The sequence below is a fragment of the Homo sapiens genome, chromosome 15 (assembly GCF_000001405.40).
Source record: "Homo sapiens chromosome 15, GRCh38.p14 Primary Assembly".
In the NCBI taxonomy this organism is placed as follows: Eukaryota; Metazoa; Chordata; class Mammalia; order Primates; family Hominidae; genus Homo; species Homo sapiens.
In genome coordinates, this window is record NC_000015.10 from 31415124 (window position 1) to 31441667 (window position 26544).

At 44.0% G+C, this 26544-nt stretch overlaps 1 protein-coding gene and 1 pseudogene across 1 annotated transcript in view, besides 2 other annotated features; both read left to right on the top strand.

Moving 5' to 3' along the window:
* The window catches only part of KLF13 (KLF transcription factor 13), a 108831-nt gene extending 88289 nt beyond the window's left edge, over positions 1–20542 (top strand). The window contains exon 2 of the mRNA NM_001302461.2: positions 20247–20542. Within this exon, the coding sequence (NP_001289390.1) occupies positions 20247–20512 (266 nt within the window). The 3' untranslated portion in view covers positions 20513–20542. The remainder of the gene's footprint in view (positions 1–20246) is intronic.
* UBE2CP4 (ubiquitin conjugating enzyme E2 C pseudogene 4) lies at positions 4994–6045 on the top strand (annotated as a pseudogene).
* Positions 19725–20244: an enhancer, noted in NCBI's record as "H3K4me1 hESC enhancer chr15:31727051-31727570 (GRCh37/hg19 assembly coordinates)". NCBI's record gives its function as "activates a minimal SCP1, AML or CMV promoter by ChIP-STARR-seq in naive H9 embryonic stem cells {active_cell/tissue: H9 hESC(naive)}" and the evidence as "EXISTENCE:reporter gene assay evidence [ECO:0000049][PMID:30033119]".
* Positions 25499–25999: an enhancer, noted in NCBI's record as "H3K4me1 hESC enhancer chr15:31732825-31733325 (GRCh37/hg19 assembly coordinates)". NCBI's record gives its function as "activates a minimal SCP1, AML or CMV promoter by ChIP-STARR-seq in naive H9 embryonic stem cells {active_cell/tissue: H9 hESC(naive)}" and the evidence as "EXISTENCE:reporter gene assay evidence [ECO:0000049][PMID:30033119]".

Consider the following 26544-nt stretch of genomic DNA (forward strand, 5'->3'; position numbering starts at 1 on the left):
GTCCGCTCCCCTTTGCCTTCTGCCGTGAGTCCATGAGTGAAAGCAGCCTATAGCTCTCACCAGAAGTAGATGTTGGTACCATGTTTCTTGTAAAGCCTGCAGAACCATGAGCTAAATAAAACTCCTTTCTTTATAAATCATCCAGCCTAAGGTATTCCTTTATAGCAACACAAATGAACTAAGACAGAACATTCCACTGAATTATGACAAAATGCATACTCTTCTCAAGTGTACATAAAACATTCTCCAGACCATATGCTAAACCATAAAGCATACCTCAATAAATTTAACAGAATTGAAATAATACAAAATATGTTCTCTGACCACAATGGAATGAAATTAGAAATTTATAGCAGGAAAATAATTTGGTAAACTCAGAGATATGTGGAAATTTTACAAAACACTCCTGAATAACCAATAGGACAAAGAAAAAATAAAAAGGGAAGTCAGAAAATAGATTGATGTGAGTGAAAACGAAGATACGACATCCCCAAAGTAAAGGAATGCGAGTAAAGCAGTGCTTAGAGGGAAATTTATAGCTGTAAATACCTATGTTAAAAAAGAAAAAAGATCTTAAATCAATACTCTAACCTTTCACCTTAAGAGACTGGAAACTAAACCCAAAGCAAGCCAAAGGAAGAAAATAATAAAGATTAGAATAGAAATCAATGAAATAGAGAATAAAAAACAATAGATGGACAATAAAAATAATAGAAAAAATTGATAAAACCAAAAGCTGGTTCTTTATAAACATCTACAAAATTGATAAATATTTAATTTTTAGGTTGAAATTTTCAGCTTCTAGGTTGAACAAGAAAAAAAAAGAGGGCTCAAATTACTAGAATCAGGAATAAAAGAGGAGACATTACTACCGACTTTACAGAAGTAAAAGGGATTTTAAAGAAATGCTATGAACAATTGTATGCCAACAAGTTACGTAACAACAAATTAGATAAAACTGACAAATTTCTAGAAAGATACAAACTACCAAAACTGATTACACAAGAAATAAACAATCCGAATATACCTATAAGAAGCAAAGTAATAAAAAACTACCCACTAAGAAAATCTTAGGCCCAGAATACTTCATCACTGAATTCTACCAAGCATTTAAAGGAGAATTAATGCTAATATCTCACATTAAAAAAGGGGTGGGAACACTCTCCAACTCATTATGAAGCCATTATTATCCTTATACAAATACCACAGAAGACATTACAAGAAAACTACAGAGCAATATCTGTTATGAATACAGATATAAAAAATTCTAAACAAAATAATAGCAAACCAAATTCAGCAATATATAAAAAGAATTATACACCATGACCAAGTGATATTTACAGCAGAGATGTAAGGTTGACTTAACATTTTAAAAATAATTAATGTAATACATCACACAATAGATTAAAAACCAAAAATTACATGAACATCTCAAAAATCATTTGAAAAACTCCAACACCTTTTCTTGAGAAAAACACTTACCAAACTAAAAACAAGGAAACTTCTTTAATTAGATAAAGGCATTTATAAAACACCCATATCAAATATCATACTTAATAGTGAAAGGAAAAATGGACCAAAATACTCTCAAAGGAATCAAGAAAAGAGAGAAAAATTAACATAGAACAAATGAGACAAATAGCATCATTGAGATGGTAGCTTTAAATTGAGATATATTAGAAATTTCATTAACTTGTGTGTTGCATGTTTGCTTTGTCATGAACTGTTAATATGTTTCCTAGAGTTCGAATGTGTCCCTCAAAGTTCATGTGTTGGAAACTTACTCCCCAATGTAAAGCATTGAGAGGTGGAGCCTTTAAGAGGTGATTAGGTTATGGAGTGCTCTGCCCTAATACATGAATTAATGGCAATGTTATGAGTAATTATCGTGATTAGTTATCATGAAAGTGGGTTCCTTACAAAAGGATGAGTTTGGTTTGCCCCCTTCTCCCTCTCTCATCCATGTGATGCCTTCTACCACATTATGAAGCAGCAAAAAGGCAATCACAAGATGCTGACCCCTTGATCTTGGACTTCCAAGCCTCCAGAACTATGAGAAATAAATTTCTTTTTAAAATAAATTATCTAGGCCGGGCACAGTGGCTCATGGCTGTAATCCCCAGCACTTTGGGAGGCCGAGATGGGAGGATCACTTGAGGTCAGGAGTTCAAGAACAGCCTGGCCAACATGGTGAAACCCCATCTCTACTAAAAATACAAAAATTAGCCAGGCATCATGGTGTGCGCCTGTAATCCCAGCTACTCAGAAGGCTGAGGCATGAGAATTGCTTGAACCCGGGAGGCAGAGGTTGCAGTGAGCTGAGATCATGCCACTGCACTTGAGCCTGGGTGACAGAGTGAGACTCTGTCTCAAATAAAATAAAATAAAATAAATTATCTAGTCTCTGGTATTCTGTCTTTTTTTTCCTTTTTTTTAAAACAGAGTTTTGGTTTTGTTGCCCAGGCTGGAGTGCAATGGTGCGATCTCGGCTCACTGCAACCTCCATCTCCCAGGTTCAAGGGATTCTCCTGTCTCAGCCTCCCGAGTAGCTGGGATTACAGGCGCATACCACCATGCTTTGCTAATTTTTGTATTTTTAGTAGAGACAGGGTTTCATCATATTATATGGTCCGGCTGGTCTGGAACTCCTGACCTTAGGTGATCTGCCTGCCTCAGCCTCCCAAAATGCTGGGATTACAGGCATGAGCCACTGCGCCCGGCTTTCTGGTATTCTGTTACAGCAGCACAAAATGGACTAAGACAATATTAAATGATCCAATTAAAGTAAAAAGTTTGTTAAAGTGTATTAAAAACCTAACAAACTTTACCTTTTTTTTAAATGACAAAGTGCACATTCAACACACAAGGATACAGGGAGCTTGTGAATAAGAGAACTAAAAAAGATTTACTGTGCAAACACTAACCAAAACCCACCTCTATATATAAAAAGACAAAATAGAGCCTATGACAGAGCTTTACTTCTAAGTAACTCAAGGTTTAAAGAAGAACTGTAATTAAAAATTTACACTTAATTACATAAAAGCTCTCCATATACTGTATATCAAATCTTGTTGGAAGCAGCTAAAGTTGTACTTTAGAGGATTTTTTTTAGCCTTCAAACATAAAAAGAGAGAATAAAGGCTGAAAGAGCGATTATCTATTTGAAGAAATTAGGAAAACAAAATATCCATTTGAAGAAATCAGAGAAAAAGTATATTAAATCTAAAGAAAGTAGAGTGAAAGACACAGGGATGACAAGAACAGAAATTAATGACATAGAAAACAAACATAAATAAAAGGAATTGACCAAACCAAAAGTTGCTTCTTTGCAAAAATTAATGAGATGATATACTTTAGTAACAGTGTTCAAGGACAAAAACAAAGAGTGCACAAATAACACTATCAAGAATGAAAGAGGACTATCACTATCAATCCCACAAATAATAATATGAAAAGTAGAGGACATACTGAACAACTCAACACCACAAAACTGTGAAAGATAGTTAACTGAAAAAATGCTAATTACAGAAACAAACACAGTAGAAATAGTACTAAATAAATTTAATCAGTAAGAAAATTTTTTCTACAAAAATTTTTATACAAAGCTACCATGGCTTTCCTAGCAGGATTTATGTATCAGTCCATTTTTGTGTTGCTATAAAGAAATACTCAAGAATGAGTAATTTATAATGAAAAAATATTTAGGTTTGGTGTGGTGGCTCACATCTGTGATCCTAGCACTTTGGGAGACCAAGGCTAGAAGATCCCTTGTGCTCAGGAGTCTGAGACCAGCCTGGGCAACATAGAGAGACCCTGTCTCTAAAAATACATACATATATACAAACATAAATAAGAAAGGAGATCTAATTGGCTCACAGTTCTGCAGCTGTACAGGAAGCTTGGTGCTGGCATCTGCTTCTGGTGAGGGCCTCAAGATGCATACAATCATGGTGGAAGGCAAATGAGGAGCTGGTGTATTTCATGGTGCATCCCCCCAGAAAAGGCTTGAGAGGCCCCCAGAATCCCTAGCTGGGTGACTAGTGAAGATCATTCCTTGTATAAAGCCAGGCCACAAAGACTGAAGAGTTGCCTGTTTTTCAAAAGCACAAATCCCAGTAAAAAATAATAAGGCATGTGAAGAAATAGGGAAAAATGGCCCAAAGGAACAAAATAAATATCCAGGAACTGACCTTAAACAAAGAGATCAATTAATGACCTGAAAAAGAATTCAAAATAATTGTCTTAAAGAACTTCAATGTGATACAAGAGTACACAGATAGACAACTAAAAACAAATCCAGAAAACAATGCATTAACAAAGTGACAATATGATCAAAGAGACAAAAACTAAGGAAGAAAAAACAAATAGAAATTCCAGAGCCGAAGATTGCAATAACTGAATTATAAAATTCGCTAGAAGGGTTCAATAGACAACTTGATCAAGCAGAACAAAGAATCAGTGAAGTTGAAGACAGATAATTTGAAATGATCAAGTCACAGGAACAAAAAGAATAAAGGATTAGTAAAAGTGAAGAAAGCATAAGGGACTTATGAAAAATCATCAAGCCTATCAATATACATGTTATAGGAGTTAAAAAGAAGAAAGAGAGCAAAGGGCAGAGAGCTTATTTGAAGAAATAATGGCCCAAACTTCCAAATCTAAGGAAGAAAATGGACATCCAAATTCTAGAAGCTCGAAGGATGCTGACAAAGAAGAACCCAAAGATGCCCACACTGAGACATATTGTAATCAAACTATCAAGGACAGTTTGATGTATCAGAAGTCAAGGATAAAGAGAGAGTCTTGAAAATAGCAAGAGAAAAGCCACTTGTATGTACAAGGGAGCTACTGTAAGATTATCAGCTGATTTCTCAGCAGAAACATTATAGGCTGGAAAGGAGTGAGATGTTATATTCAAAGTGCTGGAAGAAAAAAACCTTTTGTCAACCAAGAATATTATAACCAACAAAACTGTTCTTCAAAAATGAAGGAGAAGGCAGCCAAGTGGTCTCCCAAGACCATAACCCAGCAGCCACTAGTGTCGTCGCCACCCATAAAAGAGCCGAGCTGAGTGGGGGTGCTGCCCAGAATCCTGTGGGCAAAAGACTACAGCAGGAGCTGATGACCCTCATGATATCTGGTGACAAAGGGATTTCTGCTTTCCTTGAATCAGACAACCTTTTCAAATGGGTAGGGACCATCCATGGAGCAGCTGGCACAGTGTATGAAGACCTGAGGTATAAGCTCTTGCTAGAGTTCCCCAGTGGCTACCCTTACAATGAGCCCACAGTGAAGTTCCTCACATCCTGCTACCACCCCAACATAGACACCCAGGGTAACATATGCCTGGATATCTGGAAAGACAAGTCGTCTGTACTGTATGGCATCAGGACCATTCTGGTCTCCATCCAGAGCCTGCTAGGAGAACCCAACATTGATAGCCCTTTGAACATGCATGCTGTTGAGTTCTGGAAAAACCCTACAGCTTTTACCTTCAAGAAACCTATTCAAAGCAGGTTACCAGCCAGGACCCCTGACCCAGGCTGCCCAGACTGTCCTTTTTTTTTCTTTCTTTTTTTTTTTTTTTGAGATGGAGTCTTGCTCTGTTGCCCAGGCTGGAGTGCAGTGGTGAGATCTCAGCTCACTGCAACCTCCACCTCCCAGGTTCAAACGATTCTCGTGCCTCAGCCTCCCGAGTAGCTGGGATTACAAGCACCTGCCACCATGCCCGGCTAATTTTGATATTTTTAGTAGAGACAAGGTTTCACCATGTTGGTCAGGCTGGTCACAAACTCCTGACCTCAGGTGATCTGCCCGCCTTGGCCTCCCAAAGTGTTGGGATTACAGGCATGAGCCACCATGCCTGGCTTCCCTGCCTATCTTTGTGTTGCCTTTTTAAGTTTTCCTTTGATGGTCTGTCCTGTCTGTGATTTCTGTATAGGACTCTGTATCTTCAGCTGTGGTATTATTTTTGTTTTGTTTTTGTCTTTTAAATTAAGCCTCGGTTGAGCCATTGTGATGTATATTAAATAAATACATTTTGGTTATTAAAAAAAAATGAAGGTGAAATAAAGACCTTCCCAGAAAAATAAAAGCTGAAGGTGTTTATCCACACTAAATCTACCTTACAAAAAAATGCTAAAGGGAGTTCTTCAAGTTGAAACAAAAGGACACTTGACAGCAACACAACGGCGTAAAAAATATAAAGCACTCAGTAAAGGGAGGTATATGGAAAAGTACAGAATTGTATAATATTCTAATGGTGGTACATAAATCACATTTAATCCTGGTATAAAATTTGAAAAAGTATAAATAGAACTATAATTATCAAACTTTGTTAATGAACATAAAATATAAAAATATGCAATTTGTGAAATAAATAACATAAAGTAGGGGAGATGTAAAATTTTTTATGTAATTGATATTAAGTTTTTGTCAGCTTAAAATAAATGGCTATAATGATAAGGTATTATACTTAATCCCCATGGTAATCACAAAGGAAATATCTGTAGAAGATATACAGAAGAAAATGAGAAAGGAATCAAACTTGTCACTAAAAAAAAATTAACAAAACCTAATGAAAGGCAGCAAGAAAGGAAAAGGGACAAAATAACTGCAAAGTATACAAAAAACAATCAACAAAATGGCAAAGTATGTCCTTTCCTGTCAGTAATTTTTATATGTGTAAATAAAAAGAAATAGAGGGCTGGCCGAGCGCGGTGGCTCACACATGTATTGCCAGCATTTTGGGAGGCCAGGACGGGCAGATCACCTGAGGTCAGGAGTTCGAGACCAGCCTGGCCAACATGATGAAACCCCATCTCTACCAAAAATATAAAAAATTAGCAGGGCATGGTGGCGTGCACCTGTAATCCCAGCTACTCAGGAGGCTGAGGCAGGAGAATAGCTTGAACCTGGGAGGCGGAGGTTGCAGTGAGCTGAGACCATGCCACTGCACTCCAATCTGGGTGACAGAGCAAGACTCCATCTCAAAAACAAACAAACAAACAAAAAAAAAAAAAAAAGAAAAAAGAAATAGAGTGGTTCAATAGATTTTTCAGAACCTCAAGACCCACTCACCTTAGATACAAAGATACATATAGGCTGTGTATTAGTCCATTCTCACAGTGTTATGAAGAAATACCCAAGACTGGGTAATTTATAAAGGAAAGAGGTTTAATTGACTCATAGTTCTTCATAGCTGGAGAGACCTCGGGAAACTTACAATCACGGTGAAAGGCAAAGGAGAAGCAGGCACCTTCTTTTCAGGGTAGCAGGACAGAGTGAATGCAAGCAGGGGAAACGGTAGATGCTTATAAAACCATCAGATCTCCTAAGACTCACTCATTACCATGAGAATATGGGGGAAACCATCCCCATGATCAAATTACCTCCACCTACCCTGCCCTTGACATGTGGGGATTATTACAATTCAAGGTGAGATCTGGATGGGGACACAGAGCCAAACCATATCAGGCTGCAAGTGAAAGAATGGAAAAAGGTATTACATGCAAATTGCAACCAAAAGAGAGCAGTGCTGGCCAATTTATATCAGACAAAATAGACTCTAAGACAAAAACTGTCACAAGAGACAAAAATGAACATATAACAATAAAAGAATCAATTTTCAGCTGGGCGCAGTGGCTCAGGCCTATAATCTCAGCATTTTGGGAGGCTGAGGTGGGCTGATCACCTGTGGACAGGAGTTTGAGACCAGCCTGGCCAACATGGCAAAACCCTGTCTCTACAAAAATACAAAAAAAATTAGCTGGGCTTGGTGGTGGACACCTGTAGTCCCAGCTACTCAGGGGGCTGAGGCAGGAGAATCACTTGAACCTGGGAGACAGAGGTTGCAGTGAGCTGAGATCACGCCACTGCACTCCAGCCTGGGTGAGAGTGAGACTCCTTCTCAAATAAAAAAAAGCAAGAATCAATTTTCCAGTCATATAACAATTACATATATATACGTATATATACGTATACGTATACGTATATATACGTATATATACGTATACGTATACGTATATATACGTATATATATGTATATATATACATATATACGTATATATATATATCAGTAGCTCACTCAAATATATGAAGCAAATGTTGAAAGAATTGAAGGGACAAATAGGCAGTAACACAGTAATAGAAGGAGATTTTAATACCTTGCTTTCAATAATGCATAGAATAACCAGACAGAAGATTAATAAAGAAACAGATAACTTGGGCCGGGTGCTGTGGCTCACGTCTGTAATCCCAGCGCTTTGGGAGGCTGAGGTGGGTGGATCACGTGAGGTCAGGAGTTCGAGACCAGGCTGGCCAATATGGTGAAACCCCGTCTCTACTAAAAATACAAAAATTAGCCGGGTGTGGTGGTGGGTGCCTGTAATCCCAGCTACTCAGGAGGCTGAGGCAGGAGAATGGCTTGAACCCAGGAAGCGGAGGTTGCAGTGAGCCAAGATTGTGCCATTGCACTCCAGCCTGGGTGACAAGAGTGAGATTCCATCTCAAAAAAAAGGAACTTGAACAACATTATAGACCAGTTGGACCTACAGACATATACAGAATACTCTAAGAACTACAGAATAAATGTTCTCTCAAACTCACATGGAACATTCTTCAGGATAGATCACATGTTAGGCCACAAAACAAATCTTAAATTTAAGAAAATTGAAATCATACCAACTGTCTTTTCTGATTTTGTTGGAATAAAACTAGAAATCAATAGCAAAAGGAAAACGGGTAGATCACAAATATGGGGAAATTAAACAATACACTCTTGAACAACTAATAGATCAATGAAGAAATCACGAGAGAAATTGGGAAGTGTTTTGAGACAAATGCCAACAAATTTGATAGCCTAGAAGAAATAGAGAAATCTCTAGAAACATACAACCTACCAATATTGAATCGTGAAGAAATAAAAAATCTGAACAGATTTAAAGCTAGTAGAGAGATTAAATCACTAACCAAAAACTTTCCCACCTAGAAAAGCCCAGGACCAGGTGGCTTCACTGGAGAATTCTACCAAACACTTAAAAAAGAATTAATATAAATTATTTGCAAACTTTTTAAAAAATTGAAGAAAAAGGAATTTGATGAGACCAACATTACTCTGATTCCAAAATTAGACAAAGATACTACAGGTAAAGAAAACTACAAACTTCCCTGATTAATATTGATGCAAAAATCCTCAACAAAATACTAGCAAACCAAATTCGATGACACATTAAAAGGTTTATACACCATGACCAAGTGGGATTTATTCCTGGAATACAAGGATGGTTTAACATATGAAAATCAACAATGTAATATCACATTAAAAGAATGGAGGACACTATGTTCCAACTGTTCTATATATATGTAAGTAAAAAAAGAAAAAAGAATGAAGGACAAAAACCACATGATCATTTCAATTGATGCAGAAAAAGCCTTAGAAAAAAATTCTACACCCTTTCATGATAAAAACACCTGACAAACTATCAATAGAAAGATATTATCTGACCATATTAAAGTGTATACAAAAAGCCCACAGCCAACATCAAACTCAGTGGTGAAAAACTGAAAGCTTTATCTCTAAGGTTAGGGACAAGGCAAAGATGCCCATTCTTGCCACTTCTATTCAACATAGTAATGGAAGTTCAGCTAGAGGAATTAGACAAGAAGAAAGAAACTAAAGGCATCTAAATCTGAATAGAAGAAGTAAAAATACTTCTGTTTATAATATTATATGTAGAAAATTCTAGAGATTTCACACACACACACACACACACACACACACAAAGCTCTTAGAACTAAAGAACAAATTTAGCAAAGTTGCAGGGTACAAAAATCAACACATGAAATTAGTTTTATTTCTATATCTAACAATGAACAATTTAAAAAGAAAATTAGGAAAACATCCCATTTACAAGAGCATTGAAAAAAATAATATACTCAGGAATAAGCTTAATCAAGGAGGTGAAAGACTTATATACTGAAAACTACAAAACATTGCTGAAAGAAATTAAAGAAGATATAAATGCATGTAAAGATATTTCACATTTATAGATTAGAAGACTCAATGCTGTTAAATGTTCATACTACCCAAAGAAATTTGCAGATCCACTGCAATACTTATCAAAATCCAATGACATCTTTGAAGAAATAGAAAAAATTTTCTAAAATGTATATGGAATCCTAAAGAATCCTAAGGAATAGCCCAAATAATTCTGTAAAAGAAAACAAAACTGAAAATCTCACACTTCCCAATTCAAAATACTACTCTGACAGTGATCAGAATAGTATGATACTGGCATAAAGACCTATAGACCAATAGAATATAAGAGAGATCCCAGAAATAAATTTTCACATATGTGGTCAAATGATGTTTGAGGAAGGCAAGACCATAACCAAAGCCTGCTTTCTGGAATAGTACCAATGCCAGTGTGGAAGATCTGTGGGCCTTATTGATGAATATAAAGATTTCAGTGGCTGGGTGCAGTGGCTCACACCTGTAATCCTAGGAGTTTGGGAGGCTGAGGCGGGCAGATCACCTGAGGTCAGAAGTTTGAGAGCAGCCTGGCCAACATGGTAAAACCCCGTCTCTACTAAAAACACAAAAATTAGTCGGGCGTGTTAGCACATGCCTGTAATCCCAGCTACTTGGGAGGCTGAGGCAGGAGAATTGCTTGAATCCAGGAGGCGGAGGTTGCAGTGAGCTGAGATCGCGCCACTGCACTCCAGCCTGGCCAACAAGAGTGAAACTCCGTCTCAAAAAGAAAAAAAATCTAAATGCCTTTAACAGCACCCAAGTCACCTCTTGAATGCTTTCCTGCTTAGAAATTTCTTCCACAAGATACCCTAAATTATTTTTCTCAAGTTCAAAGTTCCACAAATCTCTAGGGGCAGGAGCAAAATGCCTCCAGTCTCTTTGCTAAAACATAACAAGAGTCACCTTTACTCCAGTTCCCAAGTTCCTCATCTCCATCTGAAACCACCTCAGCCTGGACTTTATTGTGCATATCATTATCAGCACTTTGGGCAAAGCCATTCAACAAGTCTGTGGGAAGTTCCACACTCTCCCACATTTTTCTATCTTTTTCTGAGCCCTTCAAACTGTTCCAACCACTGCCTGTTACCTAGTTCCAAAGGAAAAGTGTAAAATAATGAAATTTGATTCTTATATCATTTATAAAAATTAACTTAAAAAAGATAATAGACCTGAATATAAGACCTGAAACTTTAAAACTCCTAGAAGAAAACACAGAGGGAAAGCCTCCTGACATTGGACTTGGCAATACTTTCCTGGATATGATACAAAAAACACAGGTAATAAAAGCAAAAATAGACAAATGGGACTATATCAAACTTAAACCCTGTGCATCAAATAAAACAATCAAGAAAGTAAAACGCAACCTACAGAATGGAAGAAATATTTGCAAACCATTTGATTGTTAAGGACTTAATATCTAGAATATATAAAGAACATTTACAGCTCAACAACAATAAAAACGCATAACCTGATTAAAAAATGGACAAATGACTTGAGCAGACATTTCTCCAAATAAAATATATGTGATGGTTAATTTTATGTGTCACCTTGACTAGAGTAAGGATTGTCTAGAGAACTAATAAAGCAATATTTGTAGGTGTGTTTGTGAGGGTGTTTCCAGAGGAGATTGGTGTGCAAGTCAGTGGACCATATAGGGAAGATCCACCCTCACTGTGGGCAGGCACCCCAGGCAGCTGGGGTCTGGAAAGAACAAAAAAGGCAGTAAAGAGGCAAGTATCTCTTTTTCTCTCCTAGAGCTGGGGCACCCTTCTTCTCTTGCTCTTGGACATCAGAACTCCAGTCTCTCCAGCCTTTGGAGTCCAGGACTTATGCTAGTGGTCCCCTGGATTCTCAGGCCTTCAGCCTCGAACTGAGATTTACATCATCAGCTTCCTAAATTCTGAGGCTTTTGGACTTGGACTGAGCAACCCTATTGGCTTTCAGGAGTCTCCAGCTTGCAGACAGCCTATTGTGGGACTTCTCACTCTCCATAATCATGTAAGCGAGTTCCCCTAATAAATCCCCCATCTATCTATTATCCATCCATCTCTCACTGGTTTTACCTCTCTAAGTATATGAAAAGATGCACAGCATCACTAGTCATCAGAAAAATGCAAATGAAAACCACAGTGAAATACTGCTTCACACCCCTTAGGAGGACCACTGTAAAAAAACAAAAAACAAAAAACAAAACAAAAAACAGAAAATAACAAGTGTTGGCAAGAATGTAGAAAAATTGGAACCAGTACGGCGATTCCTCGAGAAATTAAAAATAGAAGTATCATATGATCCAGCAACCTGACTTCTGAGTATAGATTCAAAATTGAAAACAGGCTTTCAAAGTGATGTTTGCACACCCATGCTTATTGCAGCAAAATTCACAATAGCCAAGATGTGGAAACAACTTAAATGTCTATGGACAGATGAATGGATAAGCAAGTGTGGTATACACATACAATGGTGTATGAGTCATTTCTCACACTGTTATAAAGAAATACCCAAGATTGGGTAATTTATAAAGAAGAAAAGTTTAATTGCCTCACAGTTCTGCAGGCTGTGCAGGAAACATGGTGGCTTCTGCTTCCAAGGGGGCCTCAAGGAAACTTACAATCATGGTGGAAGGCAAATTGGGAGCAGGTATGTCTTACAGGGCCCAGGCAGGAGCAAGAGAGAGAGGGGAAGTGCTACACTTTTAAACAACCAGATCTTCCAAGTACTCACTCACTATCATGAGACCAACACCAAGGAAGAAATCTGTCCCCATGATCCAATCACCTCCTACCAGGCACTGCCTCCAATACTGGGAATTAGAATTCAACGTGAAATTTGGGTGGGGACACAGACCCAAACCATATCAAATGGAATATTATCCATTCTTTTAAAAAAAGACATGTTGTCTTATACTACAACATCCATGAACCTTGAAGACATTATGCTAAGCAAAATAAGCTAGTCACAAAAAGGCAAGTCTTGCATGATTCTACTTATATAGGGGTATCTAAAGTAGTTAAACTCTTAGAAAGTAGAATGGTGGTTGCCAGGACCTGGGAAGAGAGAGGAAAAGGATCATTGTTGTTCAGTGGGTATAGAGCTGCAGTTTGCAAGATTTTTCTTACCACAATTAAGAAAAATCATGTCTCTCGCACAACATGTGTAGGGATAAAAGTACAAAATATTTTGTAATGTTAAGAAACTTCAATATTAGGAGGAATTAACCATGTTTATGGATTGCAAGGCTCAGTATCCTAAAGGTCAATTTATCATAAATTCATCTTTAGATTTAATGTAACCTCAGTCAAAATTTCAACAGGTTTTTTGGTAGAACTTCAGAAGCTTATTCTAAATTTTATATAGAAATGCCAAGGACCGGCCGCGGGCGGTGGCTCACGCCTGTCATCCCAGCACTTTGGGAGTCCGAGGCGGGCAGATCACAAGGTCAGGAGATCAAGACCATCCTGGCTAACACGGTGAAACCCCGTCTCTACTAAAAAATACAGAAAAATTAGCCAGGCGTGGTGGCGGGCGCCTGTAGTCCCAGCTACTCGGGAGGCTGAGGCAGGAGAATGGCATGAACCCAGGAGGCTTGCAGTGAGCCGAGATCGCGCCACTGCAGTCTGGCCTGGGCGAAAGAGTGAGACTCTATCTCAAAAAAAAAAAAAAAAAAAAAAAGAAAAAGAAAAAGAAATGCCACAGACCAAATATAACCAGGACATTCTTGAAGATATAGTGGAAGAAAGTAGCAAGATTTGCTCTACCAGAGTTCAAATTTACCATAAAACTAATTTACTATGAAACTATCATTATTCAGACAATGTGTAGTTGGCAAGATGATCTACATAATTTGCAGGACTCATACAAAATGAAAATGCAAGGCTCCTTGCTCACAAACTATTAAGAATTTTGGGACAGCACCCCTAACGCATTAAGTCAAGTACAGGAGTCTTCTAAGGATGGGGCGCTGTACAGTGCTGCATTCTGTATGTTCATTTAATTGATGACAAAAAGTGACAGTGCAGAGCAGCAGGGAAAGGACAGCGTTTTCAGTGCAGCGTTTTCAGGTGGAAAAAAATGATAGACTTAAAACCATGAGAAGTCCCTAAAAAGGAAGGGAATTCTGACACTTGGTACTACACAGATGAACGTTGAAGACACTATGCTAATGAAATAAGCCAGATACAAAAGGGCAAATAATGCCCGATTCCGCTTACATATGATACCAAGAATGGTGAGATTCATAGAGATGGAAAGCAGAATAGCAGATGCCAGGGGCTGGAAGAGGGGGGAATAGTGAGTTATTATTTAATAGGTACAGAATTTGTCTTTGGGAAACTGAAAGTGTTGTGGAGATGGATAGTGGTAAAGGCTGCACAATAATATGAGTGAACTTAAAGCCACTGACTTGTACACTTAAAAATAGTTAAAATGGTAAATGTTATGTATATTTTACCAGAATTAAATAAAGATGAAAAGCAAAACAATGTATCTGTAGAAGAAAATACAGGAGACTAACTTTATGATCTTAGCACAGAGAAAGATTCTTTTATTTATTTATTTATTTATTTATTTATTTATTTATTTATTTATTTATTTATTTTGAGATGGAGACTCACTCTGTCATCCAGGCTGGAGTGCAGTGGCGCAATCTCGGCTCACTGCAAGCTCCGCCTCCCAGGTTCACACCATTCTCCGGCCTCAGCCTCCCGAGTAGCTGGGACTGCAGGCACCCGCCACTATGCCTGGTTAATTTTTTGTTATTTTTAGTAGTGACAGGGTTTCATCATGTTAGCCAGGATGGTCTCGATCTCCTGACCTTGTGACCGCCCGCCTTGGCCTCCCAAAGTGCTGGGATTACAGATATGAGCCACCGTGCCTGGCCTGATTCTTTTATTTTAAATTAAAGATCATGCTCTGTTGCCTTGGTTGGAAGGGGAAGATTGTTAAACAAGGTCCAAACAGCACTAATGATAAAGGAGACATTTGATAATTTTGATTCATTAGAATTAAGAAACTTTTCTTCATCAAAGGACACTATTAAGAGAGTGAAAAGCTAAGTCACAAAGTGAAAGAAGATATTTGCAGTACATACACCCAGCAAAGAGGTCATATCTAGATATATAAAGTACACCTAAAAATCAATAAGAGAGAGAACAATGAGTAAAAGGGGAAAAAATGGGTGTCTTAGTCTGTGTCATGCTGCTATCACAGTACACCAAGGATTGGGTAATTTATAAAGAACAGAAATTAATTTTCCTACAGTTCTGGAGGCTGGTAAGTCAAGATTAAAGGGCCGGCATCTGGCAAGGGTCTTCTTGCTGCATCACGACATGTTGGAAGGCATCACATGGTGGAAGGGCAAAGAGAGGGTGAGGTAGAGAGTAAAATACCCTTGAAAACAAACCCACTTCCATGATAATGGCACAAATTCATTCACTCTGCCCTCGTGGCCTAACCACCTCTCCTTAAGGCCCCACCTCTCAACACTGTTGCTTTGGGGATTAAATTTCCAACATATACTTTCTAGGGGACACATTCAAAGGTTAGCAATGGACAAAATGTTTCAACAAGTTGAAAGAGAAGATATCTAAATGGCCAATAAACATGTAAATGTTCCTTAATCATGTAAATTCAAATCACAATGAGATCATTCCATATTCTGAAAGTCTGACAGTGCCAAGTATTGGTGAGACCTTGAAGTCATAGGCACTCAGAACACTGCTGGTGGTAGAATCTCCATTCTTTGGAGGAGGATGTAACAGTATCCACTAAAGCTGAAGACAAGTACACTCATGAGCCTCCAATTCATCATAGCCCCTGCTACGGACTGAGTATATATGCACCACCCCAATTCATACGTTGAAATTCTAACCCCCAAGGTGATGGTATTTGGAGATGGGGCATGCAGCAGATGATTAGGTCATACGGGTGGACCTCTCAGGTGGAGTTAGTGACCTTAAAAAAAGAGACACAAAAGAGCTTGCTGCCTCTTTCTCTCACTCCACCATGTGTGGACACAATGAGAAGATGGCAGTCTACAACCTGGAAGCGAGCCCTCACCGAGAACCCAACTATCCTGGCACCTTGATCTCAGACTTACAGCCTCCAGAACTGTGAAAAATAAGTGCTTGTTGTTTAAGCCATCCAGTGTGTGGTATTATTATTTTTTATTATCTCAGCCCACACTGACTAAGACAGCTCTCAAATGGAAACAACAGAAATGTCCACCAACAGTAGGATGGACTAAAAAATGTATATTCATATAATGGATTTTATGCTGCAGCAAAAATGAATTGCAAATGCCTACAGCAACATGGTTAAATTTTTTTTTTTAGACAGAGTCTCCCTCTGTCGCCCAGGATGGAGTGCAGTGGCGTGCTCTCGGCTCACTGCAACCTCCGCCTCCCAGGTTCAAGCGATTCTCCTGCATCAGCTTCCTGAGTAGCTGGGACTACAGGCACCCGTCATCATGTCCGGCTAATTTTTTGTATTTTTAGTAGAGATGGGTTTTCACCGTGTTAGCCAGGATGGTCGCTATCTCCTGACCTTGTGATCCTCCCGCCTCGGCCTCCCAAAGTGCTGGGATTACAGGCGTGAGCCACCGCGCCCAGCCTGGCCAAATCTTAAAAGCATAATCTTGAGAGAAAGAAGCCAGATCTCAAACCATGCAAACACTGCACGATTCAATTTCTATACCCTGCGAAGACTTGCGGATGCGACCTTATCATTTAGGGACGCTTGCTTATGTGGTCAACTCTAAAGCAACGGAAGGAAGGAAGTGTTGACTGGGAATGCCAGGTGGCAGAGATCTGGGGAAGGGCACGGGGATGGAGGAGGTGGGATACAGATGGATGCAAGTGGTGGCTACACAGGTGTTTGCTTTACAACAACTTGCTAAGTTGAACATTTGCATTTTAAACATTTTTCTGGATGTATGTTATATTTCACAATAAGGAGGAAGACTAGAGAGAAAGGAGGAGAGAAATCAGAGCACTTACAAAACTTTCAGGTCGTTTTGCTGAAAAAGGAAGGTTGCTGGAAGGGGAAGTGAAGTTGAGAATTTTTTTTCCTGGAGCTCTTGCACTGGAAAGGGGGCTCCTTCCTGACCGCCTCTCTCTGCTCCCTGTTTTCCTATCTAGACATGGCCTCTGCCCTCCGTAGAAGGTTCCATACCAGCCAACCGGGCCACACCTTCTCCTATACCTGGTCATTTTCTTTCTCTGTCTCCTTCCCTCCCTCCCTCCCTCCCTTTTCTTGATTCCTCCCTTTTCTTGCTTTCTTTCTTGTTCTCTCTTTCTTTCCTTTTTTTTTTTTTTAAAATAAGGTCTTACTCCGTTGCCCAGGCTGGAGTGCAGTGGTGTGATCACCGCTCACTGGAGCCTCAGTCTCCTGGGCTCAAGATATCCCCCTGCCTCAGCTTCCTGAGTAGCTGGGACTATAGGCATGCACCACCACACCCAGCTAACTTTTAATTTTTTTTGTAGAGATGGGGCCTTGCTTTGTTGCCCAGGCTAGTCTTGAACTCCTGGACTCAAGCGATCCTCTTGCCTTAACTTCCCAAAGTGCTGGCATTACAGGCATGAGCCACTGCACCTGGCCTGGTCATTTCCATTTGAAGCTGGATATTGTGAATTTTACCATGCTGGATGCTGGATATTTTTGTATTATTATAAATAATCTTAGGCTGGGTGCGGTAGCTCATGCCTGTAATCCCAACACTTTGGGAGGCCGAGGCAGGCGGATAACTTGAGGCCAGGAGTTCAAGACCAGCCTGGCCAACATGGTGAAACCCCATCTCTACTAAAAATACAAAAATTAGCTGGAATGGTGGCACATGCCTGATTCCAGCGCCCACTGCACTCCAGCCTGGGCGACAGAGCGAGACTCTGCCTCAAAACAAAGCAGAAAAATAAACACATAAATAATCTTGAGCTTTTTTTCTGAGATACAATGAAGCTACTGAGAAACTGTTTGATCTTGTTGGGTCTTGCTTTTATGATTTGTTAGGTGGGCGTGGAGCAGTGCTTAGTCCAGGGCTGAGTTTAGGCTACCCACTGAGTACTGTGCCCAATGGCCAGTGAATCAGGAGTTATGCGTTCTGGCTGGTGGGAGCCCCCTGGGAGCTCCAGCTGCTGTTCTTTACTTCCATGCGGTGGCTTTTCCCTGGCCCCAGGCAGTTTCTCCACACACATGAGGTGAATAACCGAGGAGTCCCTTTGCAGATGTCCAGGGCTGTGTTTTGCCAGCTCTCTCTGTTTAGGTCCTCTGTCCTAAAAACCCTAGCCACCTTGGTCTCCCTGGGCTGTCAGCTGTGTTCCCTTCTCTCAGGGAGTCCACTCTCTTCCACCAGGGTCCCCCCCTTCCCCAGTCCCTGTGTGCTCTGCACCCTGTACATGCGATCAGGGCAGTGAGCCAGGACTGTTGAAGAACTCACCTGTTTCCCACCTCCCGTTCTACTGAAGGCTATGGGCTAGGATGCCCGTCCAGCCTGTGGGCTCAGACTATGGCACCTTTGTGGGCCCCAGGGAATGTCATCTCAAAGATACCTCTGCCCTGAGAGCCCAGCCCTGTGAGGTCTCCCTGAGCCCTTGGTCTGGAAGCAGTGGTGCCCCTGTGTGGGCTGACACTGACTGGCCACTCAGGCTCCATGCAAGGGACATCAGTCCCACGCCAGTCCCTGGCAGCCGAGGCCACAGCTGCCCCACAGCCGCTCTTGCCCCTCCTGCAAAAGGTGTGGTTTGCCTAGCTCAGGGTCTTATCTGCCCTCGCCATGTGAAGAATCTTCTGGCCCCAGACCACCAGGAGACACCACCCCTCACATTTCTTTTTTGAGCACCTGCCAGATGTAGGAAATCTTTTTAGAACTAAGAGAAGATGGAGAGAGAACAGCCAAGTCCTACCCCAGAGAGATTCCCACCTAGTGGAGGGTAAGAGGCCTGCCATCATTGCCACTGGTGGTACAATGCTGGTGCCAAGACTGTGTGCCAGGCTCGTTGCTTCGCGTCCGTTACTTCATCTCAGCAGACAACTCTCAATATCCCCATTCTACGGATGGGGAAATGAGGCTCAGAGAGGTAAGTGACTTGCTCAGGTTCACACAGCTGCACACAGCTGGACATACAGCTGCCCACACAGTAAAATGCAGGATCAGTGGCAGCAGGAGAGAGACTTGCCAGTTGGAGAGCCAGGAAGGTGCACAGAGGAGGTGGCATTGAGCTGGCTCTGGGGATGGGCAGGCCTTTTATAGAGGACTGGGAAGAAGGGCCGGGAACCAACAGTACCCCCCAAGGGAGGTTCGAATCAGGTGCTTGCCCCCAGTTGAGCCAGAGTTGGGGTGTGGAAAGGCTTGGAAAGCAGGAGAGGCTGTGGATGGAGGTGGGAGAGGCTTGGAACTGGGTCTTTGCTATCTCAGGGGCGTGGAAGGGACTTTTGAGTTTGAGAATGACGTGTCTGGAGCTCCCTGGTTCCACGGGGCTGGACCTGCTAGGGCCTGAAGCGGGTTAAGAGCAGAAATCAAAAACAGGTTTGTTTGTGAGTCAGTAGCTGGGAAAATACTGGGAAGCAGGCTTCTTGGAGCTCCCCTTCATCCTCAGCCCTGTGGATTGGGCAGCAGCCCACGCCTCCCTGCCCCAGCCACAGCCCCCCGTCAATGCCGGCGCGCAGCAGCTTTTGCTCATCCTGCCCTGGTTCCAACCCCAAGGCCATGGGGCAGCCCACTGGGCGCCTTCCTGCATGGGTGTCCCCCTTTGCTGCTGTGTCTAGACTGCAGACACAAGTGCTGGCGGGGGCCGGGGGACTGGCCAAAACTAGGGCTGAAATCATGTTCAAAACCACAGTCAAGGCGGACTTGTCAGAAATATTCCTTTCCTTGAGCCGTCGCAGCTCAGCCTCCTTGAATCACCCTGGCCACTTCCTTCCTGTGTATATCTTATGCACGCTAAGGGACGGGGCGGGTGCAACGTGTGTGTTTTTACTTCTTTTAAGTTTTGTCTATGTTTTGTCCTTTCAATGTGTTGTAGGCTGTGGGGGCGGGGCTGTTCCGAGGGGCCTTTGTCACAGTAAGGGACACTGGGGACAGCTCGGGCTTTCTCTTCAAGCTGAAAACCTTTGGTTGTGAGAATGACTAGGAGAAGGGTCTCGCTAGGGTCATGCTTAGGACCCTTCGCAGGTGGTGTGTTTAATCTCAAAACGGCCTCAAGAGGCTCTCGATCTTTTACAGGTGACAAAGAAGACAAGGAAGACAAGGAAGGTGATCCGGGAGGCTGGAGAGCTTGTCAAGGTCACAGACCCACGGTTTTCCGCCCCCTAGGGTCCAAGCTCTTTCCTGGACATCTGCAGGCAATGTCGACACGCCCTCCAGTGTCTGTGGCGGGCAAAGGATGTGTCTCCACCCCCAGACCTTCCGATCCTGTGCTGAAAGTGTCCCTCAGCCTGTTTCCTGAGAAGCCCAGGGGCTTTTGGCTTGTTACTTTTTCTTTCTCTTGAAGTAAACAGAATAAAAGAGAGTTGCTCAGACGTCTTTGGCTGTGACCCACAGGAGATGATGCAATCTCCACGGCACCCCCACATGCATGTGTATGCACAGGCGTGTACAGATATCTAAAACTGGCACCAATTTCACAAAAACACTCACCCTTATGCGAGACACATTCACCCTACACTCATCCCCCATCTCTACAGAAAATTAAAGTATACATTCATAGTTGCTGTATTCATGCATGTACAGATGTATGTACATTTATTCATGTATGTGTATAACTTATGCCATTTTCATGAAACACTCACCCTACGTGTGATACACTCCTATTTTCTAGGAATCGCCGCCCACTGAGCTTATGTCCAAACCTTAGTGGATCATAGTCTAAGTTTGGCAAACACTGAGCCGGGAGGAGTCATGTCTGCAGGGCCCCAGGAGTCCCTTAATTTGGGTCCTGATCACTCTGCTCCACCCAGTGGAGCAGGCACATGCACTTGGCCCATAAGGAAGGAAAGGAGGGCGGGGGAAAAAGGGAGGGAGGGAGGGAGGGAGGGAAGGAGGGAGCACCTCCACCATCGTAGGCAGGACCTGTGAGAGCTGAACAGGGCCAGGCAGCTAGGCACCACTCTGGGACTCTGGGGTTTCTTAGGGGATGACTTGTTTCTGGGGTCCCAGTAGGAGGAACTCAGGGTGACGCCTCCGAGGATGTGAGTGCATGTGGCAGCCGGGCCCCTCAGCCCCTCTGTGTCCTGGTATCCTCTAAATGCAGATGATGGTGAGAATCCATGCCCAGCCCGTGGCTCGGCCCATCTCTGGGAGAGCGTGTTTACCACAGCACTTGGTGTGGTAGGAGGTGAGCAGGGTGGAAGTGCTTTGCATTCACGTGGGACTTCTGGCTCTCAGTTCATCCCACCCCCAGGGCCCGGCATGAGTGAGGCAAGGGTGGGTGGGAGGGTGCAGGATGTGGGAATGCCATGTGCTGTGCACTGCTCACTTCACCCCTCGCTCGCCCCAGTTGGGGTCCCAGACCAGGAAGCTCCATTCACAGAGGTGTGGCCTGGGGCTACTGCACTGCCCAGCAGGTTGTGGGGTCCCTTTACTCTATGCTGTGTGACAATGTTACCTTCCTGGAAAGAACCCGACCAGCCCCCTTTTGCTAGTCATTACCACAGATAGGAGAGAGAACTAAATATCTAGCCAGCCATCCTCTCGGAGCTCCGGAGCTCAGGTCACCAGGCTTCAGGGACTCGCTGCCATCCTCACAGGCTTAGATCCCTGCTGCAGGGTCAGCTAGGTAACCCCTGAGGGTGGGGTGTTCAAAGTTCAGGCTGCCCCCCAGACGTGTGGAATGCCAGCCCTGACTGCCAGGGCGATCTGAGGTGGACTGACCATCCCCTGGACACTTTCATGAAGTGTGGGCACGGGCGCGACAAGTGGCCATTTATCATCCTTCCCTGCAAAGACTGGGCCAGGTTAGAGATGGACCCCAGCAGTTTCATACCCACCAAGGGCACTGGGAGCTTCCACATAGTCACTGCCAGTAGTGGCTGCTGGCTGGGGAGAGGATCTTGGAATGCTGGTCACTGGAGGCCCTCACAGGTGACTGGGAATGTGGAGGAGCAGCAGGGTGCCTCTTCTCTGCCATGCCTTATGTTGGGGTTTGCTCTGGTTCCCCTCGCAGCCACTTACAGCTCCCCCATTGATGATGGGGCACTGCCAGCCCAAGGCCTGCCTCAAAGTCTAAATATCTGTGGGGTGGGGTGCAGGGAGGCGTGCACCCCAGAAAGCAATCCTGGGATCTCCCTTTCTACCTTAACCTTTCTTCCCACTCGGGGGCTTCCTCCCATGAGTGTTGTCAGGTCTTAGCAAATAAAAATACAGGATACCCAGTTATATTTGAATTTCAAATAAAAATTTGAGTAAGAGTTTAGTATAAGCACATCCCAAATGTTGCATGGATGTTCTGCATTTTATCTGGCAGCTGTACCTGCTAGACCTTGGGCTCTGTGGTCGGGTCTTTGGACATGACATCTGCACGGGCTGGGGGCTGAGGCTGCTGGCCAGGGCGAGCCAGGGCAGGCCACCAGGCTGCAGAACCCACATGCAGAGAATGGATGTGAGGAGAAGGGGCCAGAGGAAACAGGCCCTGCAGGTGCAGGAGAGAGAAGCTGCACACGCTCCCAAGGACCCGAGAGCACTCATGTGGGTGGGCCGTGGTCTCCTGTGGCCTGCTAGGAAATCCCCCTCTGCCTGAGCTCACTTGAGAAGGTCTCTGTTTCCCAAACCCTGTCCCCCATTGCACCCAACCCTGCAGTGAGTCACGAGGAGCTCTCCCATGAGGGGCAGAGGAGGCTCACTCAGTGACCCCTGTGCCACCCCACGTCAGAGGAGATGGGGCTCTCTAGTGGTCCTAGGAGCACCTCATTTCTGTCACATCCCCACCCCTGGGCCCACAGGACATGAGCTTGAAGGGAAATGGGAAGACTGGGCATGAGAGGGAAGGGCCAGGATAGACACACCCCCAGCAGAAGGGCCTGTGTCTTCCTGCTCCCACACAGAGGCCGGGTAACTTGCTTTTTTTACTAACAGGTTGGCCTTAGGGGAAAAGGGGACCTCACCAAAGGAGTGCTACTAGTGGGTCAGCCTAGCTTAGGAGAATTCTGTGTTGGGCTTTGCACCAAAGACCAATTAGTAATTGGAATTTTTCATTTATAACTGAGGATATGGCTCAAGCTAGCTTAAACAGAGAGAGGACACGTATCGGCTGTGTAATGGGTCATAGCTTCAGGCACAGTTGGTTCTAGAAGCTCAAGTTGGATCTGTATTCTCTCTCTCTTTCTCTCTCTCCACAATTCTATTCTGTTTCCCCCCTTTTTAGGCTTCTTCCTCAGACCAGCTCTCCCAGCAGCAAGCTGATCATCAATAACTCCAAGGTCAGAGAAGCTAGAGCTTCCAGAGCGGAGAGCTCAAGAAAGTCCCCATGGTCTTTCTGACTCCTCTCCCTTGGGTCATGTGCCCAGCCCCTTGGCTGGAGAGGCAGAACTGGGACCAGCCCAGTTCTTCACTCAGCCCAGTCACATCTTCACTCTTGTACAGGTAGGAGGTCCATGTACCAATGGGGAATGGGAGTGACCTCTGCAGGCCACACCCATGCTGAATTCTCTGCCTGCCTCCCGAGTGCATGTGTTCCTAAGTGAGGCTGAGTGCGGCTTCAGCTGATCTTAAGTACTTCACAAGAGACCTCTTCTCCATAGCACTCTGCGAGCACCCATTGTTGAGACTTCTAACAAGCCAATCAGATGGCCATGTAATTACAGACAGTTTCCAACTTATGATGGTTCCACTTATAATTTTCCTGATTTTATAATGGTGAGAAAGCAATATGTATTCAGTAGGAAGCGGTAAGATACTCTCTCGATGCCGGACACCAGCCACGTGATCACGATGGTAAACGACCTTATAGGGGACTGTGCGGCCAGACAATTTGCCCAGCTGTAGGCTAAATGAGTGTTCTGAGCATGTGTAAGGTAGGCTGGGATATGATGCTCAGTAGGTTAGGTGTATTACATGCAATTTCACCTTATGAAATCTTCAACCTACAATGGGTTTATTGGGATGTGACCTCATAGTAAGTCCAGGAGCACCTCTATGCAGCTGACAGGTGACAGAGTGCAGCCCCAGGCAGCAAGCCAGCCTCCTGTGAAAGCAGGGTGTAGGTAGAATCAGTCCACAGGCTCCGGCCCTTTGCTGATGGAGACTTTCAGCGCCGACCCCATCTGACTCTCCTCTCCTTCCAGACCCCTGGGAGATGACACTCCTGAATCCCTCACAGGGAGCGAGGTCATGTCATGGATGAAGGCTATGTCACCTCCAGGGGGAGGCATTTACCCGCCAATCTGACTCTCCAGGTCCTCTCATTCTTCCCACCCACAGTGACCATGGAGGAGGCCTCGGGTGGAGACCTGCCACCAGGGCGACTGCTCCTTCAAGAGTTGCCCATGTCTGAAGTGCACTTTATGTGAGGGGAAACGCACCTTCGCTGTGCTCAGCCTTGAGGTTAGGTGCTGTTTGGTGCTGCAGCACGTGTTGGCCTCCCCTGACACCTCAGCTATCCCTGGGCAATCTGAGGCCCCACCGCCCCCATGATAGCTCCTCTGCTCCTTCTCTCAGTCTCTTGGGATCTGCACCATGCCTCCCTCCTCTATCAAATATTCCTGGGCTGGCTGATTGAAATACTAATATGAGCTAATATCTTTTTTTAATTTAAATTGATGAAATTGTATATATGTATGGTATACAACATGATGTGCGATATACAGTATGTATACATTGTGGGTGTCTAAATCAAGCTAATTAACATATCCATTACCTCACCTACATTTTGGTGTAAGAACACTTAAAATGTACTCTCAGCAATTTTCAAGTCTATAATACGTTGTTATTAACTATAGTCGCCATACTGTACAATAGACTTCCTGAATTTATTCCTCCTCTTTAACTGAAATTTTGTATCTTTTTTTTTTCTTTTCTTTTTTTGAGACGGAGTTTCGCTCTTATTGCCCAGGCTGGAGTGCAATGGCATGATCTCGGCTCACGGCAACCTCCGCCTCCCGGTCCAAGCGATTCTCCTGCCTCAGCCTTCCGAGTAGCTGGGATTACAGGCATGCACCACCATGCCCGGCTAATTTTGTAGTTTTAGTAGAGACGGGGTTTCTCCATGTTGGTCAGGCTGGTCTCGAACTCCCGATCTCAGGTGATCCGCCCGTCTTGGCCTCCCAAAGTGTTGGGATAACAGGCGTTAGCCACCGCGCCCGGCCGAAATTTCGTATCCTTTGACCAACATCTGGAACCCCTTCCCCGCTCCCCCTACCAGCTAAGTTCTTAATGGCTGATGTGGGTTAATCGTGTTATGCTATTGGTTAGCCTTATTTCCCACCAAACCTTCCTTTAGGCTTAACCTAGCCCCTTGAGCTTCCTCCGGGGTCCTCTCCTGGGCCTGCGCTGTCCTGCTCCCTGCGTGGGCCTTGCTCCCGGGTGCACAGGTGCACTACGGCCATCCTTCAAGGCAGGATCAAATTCCTCGTGGACTTTCCCAGCGTCCAGACCCCAAGCCTGGGCTCTGGCAGCTGGCTCCTTTCTTGCAGGTCTCTTGGAATCGCTTCGCGCTTGCCGGCCTGGTTGTGGACTGAGGGCTCCTGGAGGGCAGGTCAGGGGTCCAGCCCCACCCCCCACGCCTGTGGATTCTCATCTGCGCTCGGGTCCCGCGTTGGCGGAACTGTGGAAGCTTCAGGCCACCCATCCGAGTCACGCGGACTAGGATGCCCCGCCCCAGTCTTTGGCTGGGGGTGGGAGGGTGGGGGAAGGGCCGGAGTACCGGGGGCCTCTGCGCAGTCCCCGCTCCTGTGGCCGATGTGGCTGCCGGGCGGGCAGCAGGAGAGAGTGGTCCGCGCTGACCCGCGGGCCCTTCGCTGTCCGGGCACCGCCCCAGCGGAGCCAGCGGAAAGCGCGAGTCAGAGTCGCGCGGTTTCGAGGTCAGGGTGACCCGCGAGCGTGGGCGGCGCCTGCAGACCCGCTCCAGAGACGCCCGGTGCCCGCGCCCGGGACCCTGTCCACGCGGCCTCCGCGCTGCGCCGCACCTCCCCCCGCAACCCACCCGGCGTCAGCTTCTCCAGAACCTAGATTTAAATCGGGAAACTGGCTGGACACCAGGATGCAAAGAAAGTCCTTTAATTAAAAAAGAAGCACATGAATGAAAGGAAAAGCGAGGGACATTAGGGTGGGCGAGTTGGTCCCAGAAAGCCCTTAATGTCTTTTTTTTTTTTTTTTTTGACGGAGTCTTGCTCTGTCTCCCAGGCTGGAAGTGCAGTGGTGCGATCTTGGCTCACTGCAACCTCTGCCTCCCGGGTGCAAGCAATTCTCTGCCTCAGCCTCCCGCCACCAAGTCCGGCTAATTTTTGTATTTTTAGTAGAGACGGGGTTTCACCATCTTGGCCAGGCCACTCCTGACCTCGTGTAACACCTGCCTCGGCCTCCCAAAGTG